At 35.1% G+C, this 15,123-nt stretch overlaps 1 protein-coding gene across 1 annotated transcript in view; it reads left to right on the forward strand.

Annotated features, from left to right (window-relative positions):
* The window catches only part of ADGRB3 (adhesion G protein-coupled receptor B3), a 754,225-nt gene that overhangs the window by 350,393 nt on the left and 388,709 nt on the right, over nucleotides 1-15,123 (forward strand). Inside the window, exon 11 of the mRNA NM_001704.3 lies at nucleotides 8,094-8,288. Coding sequence (NP_001695.2) covers nucleotides 8,094-8,288 — 195 coding nt within the window. The remainder of the gene's footprint in view (nucleotides 1-8,093; nucleotides 8,289-15,123) is intronic.

Below are 15,123 nucleotides of genomic sequence, written 5' to 3' on the forward strand. Positions count from 1 at the left end.
CTCCCTGATGATGTGGGTTGCATATGCGGTGTGATAAATATTCCTTTGTGGCTTTCAGGTACTGAGATTTTGAAGTAGTTAGTACAGCATAATCTATCCTATTCTGACTGGTGTACAATCCCTAGAACCAGAAAAGTCAAGTAATGGAAATAGAATTGAGAAATCTACAGAGAAACATCATGTTACTTAGTGCTCTGCTTCTGATTGGGGAGGTTTCTAAAAGCTTGGGCACCAGTCTGTGGCCACTATACTGTTTTGAGCTCACAGAGCATGCTCTAGTTCCATCTGCTGGCTCAAAATATTTATGAGAACATCTAGATTTGTTTGATGTTTAGAAAAGACGTCTCACCTACATATGTCCTTTGCTCAGGATTGCAGTTTTGTCAAATTCTAGCCAAAAACTCTGAAATTAAAGCTATTCCTTGTTTATATTGGATAGGCAAATTTACTATGCTCTCATTCTTATTTTGGAAATTTCAGGTTTTACAGCAAAATATGCACAGTTTATACCTGACTCAATTTTCTCCATGGCTCAGTTTATTCCCAACAATAATTTTCAGTTCTCAAATTCATGCTGTCCAATCTCTCACTTCAGATATTCCTCAGACAAGAAACTGGGATATCTGAAGCACTTTTGGCCAAATGCTGTTCAACACACCATTCTGAGTTCTATGTGATACCTACATGATTCATGCAGTGAAATTCTGGACCAAATCTGCCCTATCATATCGTCTCCAGACAATGATTTTATTTTCAGACTTGATGTTTCCACTTTAGGGCAACTCTGAGATGAACACAAACTCTTCGTATCAAACATAGGGAAAATTAAGAAATATTCATTTACCAGAACTAAGGGTATACCTTCTTTTTCACATAGAATAATCTCTATATTTCCTGGAGACTTCAGGTAGATTTATAAATAATCAAATGCCATTGTCCAATGAGTGACTTTGGTCTTAGGAAATTACAGATTATGAACTAAATTAAAAGATGTATATTTAGATTGTTGCTTTATGAAAAAAGCTCTATGTATAATTATCTTTTAATTGAAGCCACTTAGAACTGTGAAAGCCTTTAACATACCTTGCAGATGGGCTGTAGGAGTTGATGCTGAAAATAATATATAAATATGTGATGTTTAAAATGTATCATTTGCACAGAGCAACTATGATAAACCTTTTTTTAATATTCACACAATAGCGGCAACTGTGGCTGGCAGTAGGAGGCTTGAAATGAAAAGAATAAGGTTATTTCAGAAACACACCTACTCTTTAAACCATGACCCTCTCCACATCTCTCTATAAAAAGAACAAGGAGGCTTAATCCAGAACTCTGAAGAGCAACTATTTTTAGACTCATTTTTCCCCCTTTCACTGTTGATCTTCTCAATAGTAGTAAATATGAATGACACAGAAACTTTTAAGACTTGTCCTTTGGAGCAATAATGCTCACAGTGTTGCAATGTGAGCAAGCATAATCACTGATAATTATAATTTTAAAAGGAAATATGAAAATTACAAAAAACCTTTCTGAATTATTTCCATGATTAAATTACAATAATCAAAACATGCTACCCAAAGGAAATGGAGTCCTTAAGGTAACCTTGGGTTTTATTCAACCTCCACTTGAGTAAAACTACCTACAAAATCTTCTATAGGTATTGGTAAATGGCTTTAGAAACGGTTACACATTATATTCCATAAAAACAACTACTACTCAAATAATTTTCAATACCTCAAGAGTCCGGTAAGTTGTTTCATGTCTTTTGTTTCTTCATATGAAAAAGATTGAATTTCTCCTTAACGCAAACATGGTTGATAATGATTTTTAAATATTCTGGACAGATTAAACATACGAACACATTTAAATATTGTCAAAATGCTTATTTTGACAATTTCTAATGAAAGCACCATATAAAACCTGAGTGAAGCATATAGTATTAGTTAAGCACATGAACTAAGGATCAGACTGCCTGGGCTCAAATCTCCATAGTCACTACTTAGGAGCTATGCAATCCTGGAGAATGCAGTTAACCTTACTAAGTCTCCACTCCTTCATCTGTAAATGTGAATCATTATGGCACCTCCAAGGATTGTTTTAAAGCTCAAGTGAGGTACCCCTTATAAAACATGTAGTCTCATGCTTGCGATATAATCAGAATGATAAATGATTGTTGTTATTATTTTCTAAAGGTAGCAAGTATATAACTGTAGATGTCTAAAATTTCTGAATTCATTTGCCTACTTATATTAATTGGATATAGTTTACAAAGCAATTCTGTCAGGAAGTGTAAAAGTTCTCCAATTATTACATATTTCTTTGTTTTGAATAATTATGGACTACTGCTTTTACCTTGCCAACATTTGTGGATTATAGTTGAAAGTAAAATAAAATCCTCCTGTAGTTTTAGTTCAATTCAGCAAGCCCTTTGAACAGGTACTTTTGTGTGTCACATAGCGTTTTAGAGATTATAGTGGAAACAAAGATGAAGAAGAAACTACAGGCTCTTTAGGAGTTTATGGTCTAGTGGAATGGATAAGATAACAACACAAACACTATAGTAATATAAGATACAGCAAGATTACTTCTATGAGCCTGAAAATAGAGATCATATCATGATTGCAGTTATCCAAAAAGAATTCGTGAAGGAGAAAAGAGAGAGAACAATTTAATGAGAGGATTTTGGGAGAGCATTTAAAGTGACAGAATAGCATGAGTCAGGGAGCAAAGACAGAATCCATGATTATTGCAGGGAGAAGTGGTGAGAAATTTAGACAGATTGTTACTAGGGTACTTGTAGTAGTCGTAATAGAACAGTGGGGTGAACCAAGCTGACCATTATAGATCATAATGACTTCTGCATAAACTATAGGAAGTATATATTTTCAAATATTGACTTATAGCTTCTCTCAAAAGAAAGACCTAGGAATCCTTAGGTATTGGAAATTAACGCAGGGGGATATCAAAGCCAGAACTGTAGGAAAAAGCTATTGGAGTGTTAGATCATACATAAGCCTTGGCTGCTGGAAGCTGAGGTCCTAAAGCCTTTGTGAGGATGCTAACGACACCTCTCACACAAGCAGCGATGCCCTTCCAAGCCTCCAGCAATGACCCAGCACTGTATTGCTGCTCTAGCCTCATGAAGTAGAAAAACCCTATGCATTCTCAGGCCTGCAATGTGTCTAAGAAATTTGTAATTCATACAGAGTTTCTTGGAGAAGAGGAAATAAATTGCCTTTCAGAAATGGAAACTCCTAGTCTGAACCAAGAACAGATGGAATTAACATCAAAAGTTGCATAAATTGATTCAGGACCAGTGAACTGCCTGAAGGCTCCACACCCAGAGAAATGCACTCAAAAGCATCTCTAACAACTGTTTCACAAACCAGGCACTTGGGGCTCCCAAAAGATAAATATATCCCATTGAATATAAGTTTACAATAATTATAAATATCATGAAGCAAAACATTATGAAGAAGAATCAGCAAATGCAGGAATCAGGAGACTCAGCAAAACAAGAAATTTAAAAGAATAGGAAATATTTTTAAAACTATAATATATTGTTTAAAATCGTTAAGACATGAAAGAACAGAAATAATTAAAATCATTAAGATGTGAAAGAACAGTTAAATAATTAAAGAATATGAAAAACTTTAAACAGAACTTCTATAAGTAAAATATTGTCATTGAAATTAATGAATAGAATAAATAGCCAATTAGATTCAGTTGAAGAAAGATTCAACCTTCTGGAAGTTAAGTACTGAAGACCTATACCAGGATCCATCTCGTGTCTATAGGAAAAGGATGGAGATGAGAAACACTATATAGCTAGCATTTCGAGAAATTGGATCTTGAATTTGGGAGAAGAGGAAACAGTCACTGAATGTCCACTTTTAACCTCTATTTTTATATTAACCCATCATAATAACAACGTGATTATTTTCTCCTTTTTACAGATAAATGAAATAATCCTAGGAGAGAGTTAAATAATTTTTTCCAATGGTTCTTTGTAATAAGTAGTAGAACCACAATTTAAATCTAGGTTTTATTATTACAACTGCTACTTAGACATGACATACTAACAAGATTTCCAGAAAGCATACTTTGTAGGTAACTGGAAATTTTAATTTAAAACTTAAAAAGTTGTTGGGCTCAAACCAAATTTTGTACCTCTGATATTGATTTTGAAGAGAACCAGGGAGAAAACAGTAGTTGAAAGGAAGTAGCAATAAGAGAAGTTGATATTTAAATAAGATATATGATATCAGGCAATTTTTTTTTGAGAGAGAAATATTGAAGAAGGGATTGGATGGGATTCAAAACCTTAGAAATAACCATAGAATTAAACCATAGAGATGACAACAAAGGAGGAGAAGTAGAATGCAAATAAAGGACAGTTTGAAACAAGGAAGAGGTAAGATGAGCAAACCCATTTATTCTCAACTTCATAATCCAGAAAGAAAAAAGGGAAAACAATCTAGCAGATAAACCTGGACATGTCATTCTAGGAAATAGGTAGTGAAAGGGTAGACATAAGGCAAAAAAAAGAGAACTCTTCACAGTATGCATGTGTTGTGGATAGAAGATCAAGAACTGGGAAATTGTCTTTCAACTAAATACGTTCTGGACAGAAACGTATGTTATTCAAACATTCTTTATACCCTGTATAAAGACAACGAATAGTCTCACCAGTGTGTAAAAATATTACAAGGTAGTTGTCCCGAGTGCTTTTCACCTACAATGCCAGGAAGGATGCTAATCAGTGCCAATTGTTAGAGCTGGTGTTGTCATCTGGGCACCTGTTTGCTAAGAGCTGGACTGACAACAACTCATTCTACATAAGCCTTCTAAGCAGCTGTCAGATGGCAATGACGTTAATTTACTACTGACTTGGGCCAGATTTGATGCTGACCCAGACGTGACAGACTGGCTTTCCTATTAGTTGAGCCATCCAGTGCCTTCTGTAACTATTTTTATTGCAAACAGAAAGCATGTCTAAATGTTTTATTTCTCAAGATTCAATTCTATGTTGTGATGTTTTTGTTTGAGGATATCTGTACAAGTTAAATCCCTCACAGGCACAGGTATGGGTTGCCAAAATAATAGAGAAAGGGCTGATTTGAGGCAGTCAGACATTAATTATTTACCGTGGCAACCATTGCTACATTCCATTCCTAATGGAGAACAATTTAGTCTTCTGCAGCTTTGAGTATCACAGCTGTGATTTGCATTGCCAGCACAAAACTGAGGACTGAATTTCATGACTTTTTTTAGGTTAGACTCTATTACCTTCATTTCTCTTCAAAACTTTCCTCACCCTTCATGCATATCCTGAGACACCCCTGTGCCTAATGTTATTGAGGAAGAGCAAAAGGACAAGTGCAGCTAGAGCACCAGACGTTTTTCAGCTCAGAAGCAGCACTACCTCTTTAAGTCAGGTAGTGTGTTTGTCTCATGCTATTTGTTACCAGTGTTTCCTATGGACTATGTTCATGAGTAAGTTACATCTTTCAAGTGTGCCTAACTTAATCCTATGACCTAACAACCTAAGCATAGATGGAAGTTGATTCAATAACCCATTCATTCCTTTAACTCATTCATTCAGTATGTTGAATAAGGTTCTAGATAATGGGAATAAAATAATAAACAAAACCTCCTCCTTCAGAAGGCTTATATTAATATTTTAATGGCACAGGCAGAAAAATGAAAAAAACAAGAAATAGAAGGCACAATGGCAGGTAAGGTTGAGCCTGATAAAGTCTGGGAGATGACTGAGAATGACACGGACTCCATTTTAGGTAGGAAGTCAGGTAAGACCTTTCTGAGAAGGCGACAAAAAGCATGTGAATGCTTGTGGAAAGACTATTCAAGGCCCCCGCCATCCCCTCGCTCCCACAAAAAAAAAAAAAGCAAGACAAAGGCCCTGAGATATGCATTTTCCTAATGTTATTGAGGAAGAGCAAAAAGACAAGTGCCACTAGAGCACAGCAAATGGCGGGGAACGGGGAAGAACTCCGCAGAAACTAGAGCATGTAGGGCACACAGACCTTGGGAAAGCAAGATGCTTTCGTGTATGCTCTAGCTTCTGCTAATTATCTTAGGCTTGTGTGGGTTGAATTGTGTTAAGAAAATTACTTTTAAAACATTTTTAATATATAGATCTATTTTTCAAATCTCAGAGGAAACATGGTAAGCTGAGTGTCCAATGAACTCAATTACATAAATAATAAGCTGCAAAGTTGAAACACAAACCTAGGCACACCTGGCTCTAAAGCCCATTCCATTATATTGCACCACAAAGGTGTACTTAGGGCATAACAACTGAATTCACTGCAACAAAATTTTGCTATGCTGTTTGCTAAGACTGTGAATAAGGCAGGGAGACTACCCTCAAGTTTCAGAAAGACTATTGGGACAGAAAAATAAGCAGATAATCACCATTCTCTGTGATAAAAGTCATGTCTGTATAAAAGATAACAAGAGAAGGCTTTGATTAACTCTGTTTAGTTATTTAGAAGAACAAGAACTAAATATGAGTGGTTTTTAAAGAAGAGACCATGGAAGAAAAGAGGGTAGAATATCTATTGTGAAAATCTGAAGTCATGAAACGCATGACCTGAACAGAAAATTGCAAATAATTACCAGTAGTTTAGAAGCAGCACTGGAGTTCAGCCTGGTGGTACAGCCTGGTACAAAGTAGAAACCAGCTGGCTTCTACTTTGAGGGTTCATGTCCTTCTTATTGGCCAGTGCCGTGTCTCTTTCATGAATAAATACGTAAATATCACTCCATTACCAGACAATTAGCACTGACACTACAGAGATAGGTAAAAGCCAGATTACTGATGCCGTGTCAGTCATTTGGGTTTTAGTCCATGGTTGATGGCAGCTACCAAAGAGAGATGAAAAGGAATGAAAGAATAGGGAGAAGTACCTAAATATGTTATGACTTTTAGCATAACACAATGGAAATAAAGTATGTCTCTAAAGATTTTATTTTACCAAAATTGTTTTAGACATCTTTACAGAAAAAGAAAAGTAAAATATATGAGATTTCAACACTTTCTGAAATATAATACTTAGAAAATTTATACTTTTTTGATTAGATCAGATTGATTGCCATACTTTAAAAGATTTGTTGGCACAGTTCTTGATGGGAAATTGGTAATTGCAATTAATGTACTTTAACCTTCCTATTTCACTATTTCTCTGGCCTGTTAATTATTGATTATTTCATTTTTTTTTAGTTAATTTTATACAAATTTAGCAAAGAAAAGGTACAGATTAAACTTTTAGTAAACAAGTAAAAGTATAATGGATTCCTGCTATTTCTTTACCTTCTCTTACCTTACTATTCTTTCGCATTATAAGATGTTTTTCCTCCCTTGAACTGTACAACAAGCAAATATAAGAATTGGCAGCACATTTCTCTGACCATCAAACTAATTTAAGCTTTGCATTTTAATAGTTCATTCTGTTGCTGAAGACCCAGCAGAGAGTTTTCAATTGTTTTTGCTGTTTTTTTTTAAAAAAAAAGCTAAAGCAATCTGGTTTTCAATCATGTCATAGTAAATCTCCAAAGTTTAAAGATATTTTAAGTAAATTTGTGCTGCTAATAACTTTCTTTGCTGCTCTATAGAGATGTGTTCATTTTAAGAGGTAAGGCAAAAGTTAATAAGCTCAGCTTGTTGGTAAAAATGGCTATTTTTGAAGTGTTTATAATCTCCCATCTCTGATCACACCTTACTAAACAGTCCCCCATGTTTACCACATGCTAAAGTATTTTTGATTTTTACTCCAATTAAGAACCTAAATTAATACACATTTTCCCAAATGTGTTGAATTGTGTGTTCTAACTAGAAATGGCAAGTTTGTCAAGCCTGCCGAAAAGTATACACTCATTAATTCTTGCATGCTGGATGTTTATCCATCTGAGTATGGGATACACACAATTTACAGTTTTCAAATCCTCCCAAGCATTGCAAGGCTATTTTAAGTTAATTGAGCAATTTTAAATAAAGTTGTTTGATGAAGTTATTCAGATAAATGGTAATGAAGATTCTGATGTTTGCTCTGTTCTTTTGACCATCACAGATTAAAGAGCACCTTGCTAAGGGGCAGCGAATGCTGGCAGGTGATGGAATGTCCCAGGTGACCAAGACACTGTTGGATTTAACTCAGAGAAAAAATTTCTATGCAGGCGATCTTCTGATGTCTGTGGAGATCCTGAGAAATGTGACAGACACATTTAAAAGGGCAAGTTACATCCCTGCATCTGATGGTGTCCAGGTAAGGGAGACAAGTTCGTGAAGGAAAGGGCTAGTGAAGATGCAATCAGTTTTTGGTCCCACGAAGCCAGTGCAGCCGTCTTGGAGGCGGACTGGAGGAAGATAATGCTCATCCAAGTTATGCTTAGTGTGAGCTCTGGAAATGACCTCAGTTCCCTTAGTCATTCTCCACCTCAATGTCCTCGCCCATAAAATGCATATATTACACCTCAAGGAGATACTGAATGAGAACCTGTATGAAGTGCTTTGAGCCCCCAGATAAAAGGCACTATAGCAAATTCAAGGTGGTATCATGGATATTTTATTCCCACATTTAATATACCATCTTGACATAGGAGACTATTAAAAATGCATTAAGCATAATGAAAACACATTAACTGTAACATGCAAAAAAACATAGTTTAAAGTTTGTTTAGGATTTTGCTATTAGTGGGGGAAAAACATATTTAATTTTATCAAACTATTCCCTGAAAATATAAGGCAAATAGAAAATTGTTCTAGCTAAGAAAATACGAAATTCAATAACTTCTCACAGCATATTTTTCTTGTTTTGGAAGACTTTTAGAACAACATCATTTATTTCCATAATAAAGTTTAAGTACTCACCCAATGTCAGTATTGCCTTTGCCATTAAAACAAAGCTTATTGAATGGCAAACAAAGCATATTTAATGCAACTACAGTTTGCGTTTCAGATTAACTCTTTTTATGCTGTAGATTCAAAGGTACTTCTACAAAGACTGCTGAGTTCATTTCTGCATTTTCAGCATAATGTTCTTACTGCATCTCTGCATAAAGTTCATTAAAATAAAGATTTGGCAAAACTCCCAGATTAGGTTTTGTGTTCCTTCAGCCTACTCTAAATTTGTAAGTTTATTGGTATTTCCCTTGGAAAATACAGGATTTGTTTTGTTTTGTTTTGTTTTGTTTTGTTTTGTTTTAATTAGCTATTGAAGGAAAGAGGAAAACAAGACTTTTTAGAATCATGGAGTCTTTCATAAATAATACTGACACCCTAATTTGTATAGAGGTACATATATTGCTAAAATCATATGCATATACTGCTGAAAGAAACTGCTACGAGAATTATTGGTGCTGAATTCTATATTAAATCACCACTGTCCGTATTTAAAATTATAATTGTAAAAGTACATTGCCTGGAGTGGATGGAAGATTATTATCTTTTGAACATTTCAAAGATGCTTTTCTCTTACAAAGATGAAACACTTTTTTTCCTAAGTTTTAAATGTTAATAAAGTAACCAAGTACTTTTCCCTGCAGTTCTGAAATGCTTCTATTAATATTTACATTAAAAATAGCATTTAAAGTCTTTGACACAAAATATAAGTTGTGATTTCAAAAAAATTCTCATAAACTCTGTTCACAGTTGAAACATTAGGTAAAGTACTCCATGAAATAATCTCTAACTCTCAAAAGTGTAGGGCTTCAAAATTCTTATGTGTGCAAGTTCAAGAAATTAATGTGACCAGTTTATATTTAGAACATATTTTGACTGAGCTACTTATTTGTGTGCATAAATTCAATGAAAAATTCCATTAACCAGTTGCTTAGTCATTGACATTAGCTGGTTTGACTTAAATAGAGCAATTTGGCTAATTATCTTGTTTCATTTTAGTCTAGTCAGAAATAGGTTTCTCTCTTTCCATCCTACTTCATCAAAGGAAGTATACACAAAGTCCTAAGCACGTTGGTGTCCTCGTCATTGCCTCACAAATGGCAGCTGCATTTTCCTATGTCATTAACTTTACTGTTGTCTTTTGGGGCATCTGGAATGCCCTCCTTATCTGAAATTCCTTCCTCTCCCATCTCTGCCTGTCATAATTCTAGCTCAACTCTGGTAAGTCTTTCTGAACTCCAGATGACCAACCCCCACCTTTATCTGAAAATGATTTTTCTCTTATCTGAAATTTCAAAGAATTTTTATCTCTTGTATTCTACTTCCCACAATTTTATACAAAGAATTTGCAAATATTTACTGTCTTCTTTACTTGATTATAAACTCTGGTTTATAATCTTCATCAATATTCTTTGAACTTCACGTTACTTTAGTTTTTGCCATGTCCAAGGGCTCTGGGCATTTCTAATTGGCTAGCAACTCAGGATTAATGTGGCATAAACTAATCTTAATTCCAAGTTTTCTTGCATTTCTCCACTTTTTAAAAATAGAATTAGTAGTCCCTAGCTAGAATTGAAATGCCATCTTGACTTTTTCCTTTTCTCTTTTCTCTTGGGTCTGCCTACTTAATGCCTCTTTCATCCATTCTTTCCTCTCTCTTTCCACTACTGTCATCCAGGTCAGCCTCTAATTACCTCAGCCTACATGATTTCTGTGGCCTCTTCCTTTTGATCCTCCCTCGCCTGTTTACCTACATCCCTAGCAATGTTATATACTGTGGTACTATAATTTATCATAGAACAGCTCTGATTATGTCACTGTCTACTCAAAAACCTTTGGTAGAGCTTCAAGTCTTCCCGAATGACAACTTGAAGTCATTATACTGCCTCCTAGTACACTCCACATATGTAGGTTACCTACCTTTCCAGCCTCATGTGTGGATTACTCTTTCTCCTCACAGACCAGCCACTTGAGGTAAATGAACCACTTCCTGATTCCTGAAAGCACTGTATGTTCTTGGCTCTGGGTCTTTGCTTCCTCTGTGTTTTCAGACCGGCTTCGTCTATCTCAATCTGCTGTTGAAGTTCTCAGGTCTTATGGGCCTGTGAACTCCAAGAGCATTTCCTCTTCTGCATCTCATCATATCTTGTAGTATCAGCACTAATTAGCAAATCTTCGGAAAAAAAGACATGTTTCTGATCCATCTTTGGACCCTAGCCAAGTGCCAGCCCACCTCCTGCAAATAAGATTTCACATAGAATCCTGTCTATAGAAGATGTTCAACAAATGTTTGTTGAATGTATTAACAACAAAAGTAGTGGTAATAATCACAGAGGTATCCATGAACTTTTTTCATCCTTTTTCCAGTAGAAAATGATGAGAAAAGATAAAAGAGAAATTAAGTAAAATTAAAGGGAATATATTCTTTTAAATGTAGTTATGTGCAAGGTATTTTATTAAAAATGGCTGGTAATGTTGTACTCAATTAAAAACTTGATTGGATATTTTGATGAAAGAGACATAGAATTGTCTACTATATACTAACTACTACAGACAGAATAGCTTATATTAGCAAGATCATAGGAAAAGTTTGGATATCTGGTTAGTAAATTATTGGAATGTACTCCAATAAACATACACAGGCACATACAAATATGTGCATATGCATATACTTTTTTCTATTGAAAATCAAATGAATTAAACCATGAAGACCTTGAAAACTTTTGAAGGCCTTTAATATGGCTGTGATGATATTGTGAATTAAACCAGGCGCAGTGGCTCATGTCTGTAATCACAGCACTTTGGGAGGTCAAGGCAGGCTGATCCCTTGAGGTCAGGAGTTTGAGACCAGCCTGGACAACATGGTGAAACCCTGTTGCTACTAAAAATACAAAAAAAAAAAAAAAAAAAAAGCAGTGCATGGTAGTGCATGCCTGTAATTCTAGCTACTCGGGAGCCTGAGGCGGTATCTCTTGAACCCGGGAATCGGAGGTCTCAGTGAGCTGAGATCACACCACTGCACTCCGGCCTGGGTGACAGAGTGACACTCTGTCTTAAATAAATAAATAAATAAATAAATAAATAAATAAAATTATGAATTAGGATCATAAGAATTGGCCTGATTCCTCCCAACACATGAGGTCCTTAAGTTAAAATGACTCCTGTTTTTAATTGTCATTATTATTTCTAAAAGGTAACTTATTTTTTGGCCTATGGAGGAAACTCATTCATGAAAAATTTAATTCAGCAGGGTTTCTAAATACCACTAAGACACTTTGTTCTTGTATTTGTATATAAAAACATTTATTTTTTATATTATCTACCTCTGTTCAGTAATAGTAATTCAGAATGTGAGAGATTTATGTAAGTATTTTAACTAACAAATCCATAGAATTGTATGAACCCTTAAAATTTCAAATTATATAAGTTATTATTGTTGTCATCTCCTAAATCAATTCACAACAAACCTATTTTTAAACGTTAGTACAATATTCTTCTTTCATTGCTTTAACATGTAGCTTGACAACTTCATAAATCAGAATATTGTATTCACCTTAAGAAATTAATAAAATTGTGAAGTTAATCTTTCCCCAGATTATTCACCTTACTGAGGGACAGCATTAAAATCACATGAGCCACTGCAGTTTAAGTTCTTGGAGTTAATGTCCTCTTTTACTAAGAGCAATAATTTGCTGCCATTGACAATGGAGAAAAGAAGAAGCAACATCTATAACCCCTACATTTTTCTTAAACCAAAAAAGTGTATAGCTTTTCCTTATTCCATCCTGATTATCCTGTGAAGATAATTAGAACTTATCAAAGTAAAAGAGTATCACTTCTATTTAGTTAAAAAAATATGCATGGCTGAATCCCAAAAGTATCACATTACTAAATCAACACCAAATTCCATTAAAATGGGCACAGTTACTTCAGTAAGGAACATGGGTTAACTACCAGCAAAGCTGTTTCCCTTCATTCATTACTCTGTCTGTGTGTAGCCACTTAACTCTTTGGCAACTGTTGCATACTATGATTAAGTCCATATCAAAGCCTATATATGATACCCATTGTTTATTTTTGATGCCAAAACTGAAATAGATCAGTAAAAAGAGAAAAAACAAAGGAAATAATTTATGACATTATCACCATTTTCAACTAGCCACTCACTAGATCTCTAAGAGGAGAAGTGAATGCAACATATGCAGCTGTACCCCGAAGAGGTGGTGCAGAGGCTTTGTCTGGTCAGCTGTCGGGTCATAAGATGAAGCTCCCTCTAAGATCCTATTCTTTCCTAAAAGTACCCATCTTTGGATACAACTATAAAACTGTATTTTATCCTGGCTTAGACAATATCACCTATAATATACACCTTTATTTGTGCCCTGTATGTAAGAAAAGCTGCTGTGTGTATACCTGTGACAATACTAAGCTGTCTTTCATTTTAAGTCCCAACCTTGATTTATGAGATGTTAAAATTGTAAAAACCTCATACAATAAAAATGTGCTTATATGTTTTGGAATGATAAGCCACAGTAATAATTTTATTTTGGAAAACTAGTAGAACATATTTCAAAAACTTTTCCCTTCAAGCATATTCTTTTCCAAACCTTTGGACTGTCATAACTCCAAGACTATTCATTAAAGCCATGTGGTATAGCTTTCCCTTTTCTTTTTTTTTTTTTTTTGAGATGGAGTCTCGCACTGTCGCCCAGGCTGGAGATCAGTGGCGAGATCTTCGCTCACTGCAAGCTCTGCCTCCCGGGTTCACGCCATTCTCCTGCCTCAGCCTCCCGAGTAGCTGGGGCTACAGACGCCCGCCACCACGCCCCGCTAATTTTTTGTATTTTTAGTAGAGATGGGGTTTCACCGTGTTAGCCAGGATGGTCTCCATCTCCTGACCTCGTGATCTGCCCGCCTCAACCTCCCAAAGTTCTGGGATTACAGGCGTGAGCCACTGCGCCCAGCCAGATTTCCCTTTTCTCATCTGACTTATGTTTCTTTAAGATCCAGCTTAAAGATATCTTTTGTTGTTGTTGTTCTCAAAAGTCTCACCAAATCCCAGGCAGATTAAATTTTTTTCTACTTCTGTGGGCTTTTGAAATCTTGTAAACATCCGTACTACAGAACTTTCACACACAACATCATAATTATTGTTGCTAGGTCTGCCTTCAGCAATATTTTTTAAGCTCTTTGAGAGATTATTTTGTCCCTAGGGCTTAGCTTGGTACTTGAAGCATGTAGACACTCAAATATTTGTTGATATAATTAATGAATAACTAAGGGTAATATAATAATGTTTGAGGAACTTACATTGTTTCACAAAATATTAGAAAACTGCTCTGAATATCTAATTCAGAGGAAAAAAAGAAAAAAAAATACTTGTTCATTTACTTTTTTTTCACCACTGAAATAATTCATTCTGAATCTTATTCTATCAGTAGAGGATTGAGTTGGCACTGCTTGCTCCAGAAACTTTAAGACTTAATAAAATTTAATCAGACATATTTAAAATCAAATTTCAGCCTGTCCAGCTATCTTAGTATCTTCAGGCATGTTACTTAATCTTTGTCTACCTTATTTCTTAGTTTCTGTAAAAAAAAGAAACAAAGAAGGGATAATAGTCAATTCATTGTTTGTGATAGGTATAGTCTATAACATTACAGCAGACACTGAATTAACAAATACTGAACCATTGCTCCAAAGGGAAATACAGGATTAGGTCCCTTTGAGAATCTGGTCACAACATTTTCATCAACCAATCAAAATGACTTTGTTTTATGTGCGTTTCAGTTAAAATACACCTTATTTAATGTATGTTGTTGATGCACTAACATTGAACTCATAGCCGACAGCACTTTATCTCATGCCTAAACAAGGTTTATCTAACATACTTATTTTCTATGTAAGGTATAGGATAACTTTGTTGTGCTTAAGATCACTAGATACTACTTCAGCACCATTCTGGGCTCATTTTAAGCAGTGAAATCAACAAAACAAAAAGCCCCAAAAGTATGAAACATGTGGCAATAAAAAGATCTGAAATGTATACTTGGTTATAATATAAGGGTTAAAACAAAAAGGCAGAACATCATCATGTTAGACCTCAGCTAGAAAAGTGCACATTGGCCAACTCAAAATTTTTACCACTTTGTGCATGTCCACAGTTGGCTATGATGGTGCTGTGCATTTTAGTTTCAATA

This window comes from Homo sapiens, chromosome 6 (assembly GCF_000001405.40).
Source record: "Homo sapiens chromosome 6, GRCh38.p14 Primary Assembly".
NCBI lineage: Eukaryota > Metazoa > Chordata > Mammalia > Primates > Hominidae > Homo > Homo sapiens.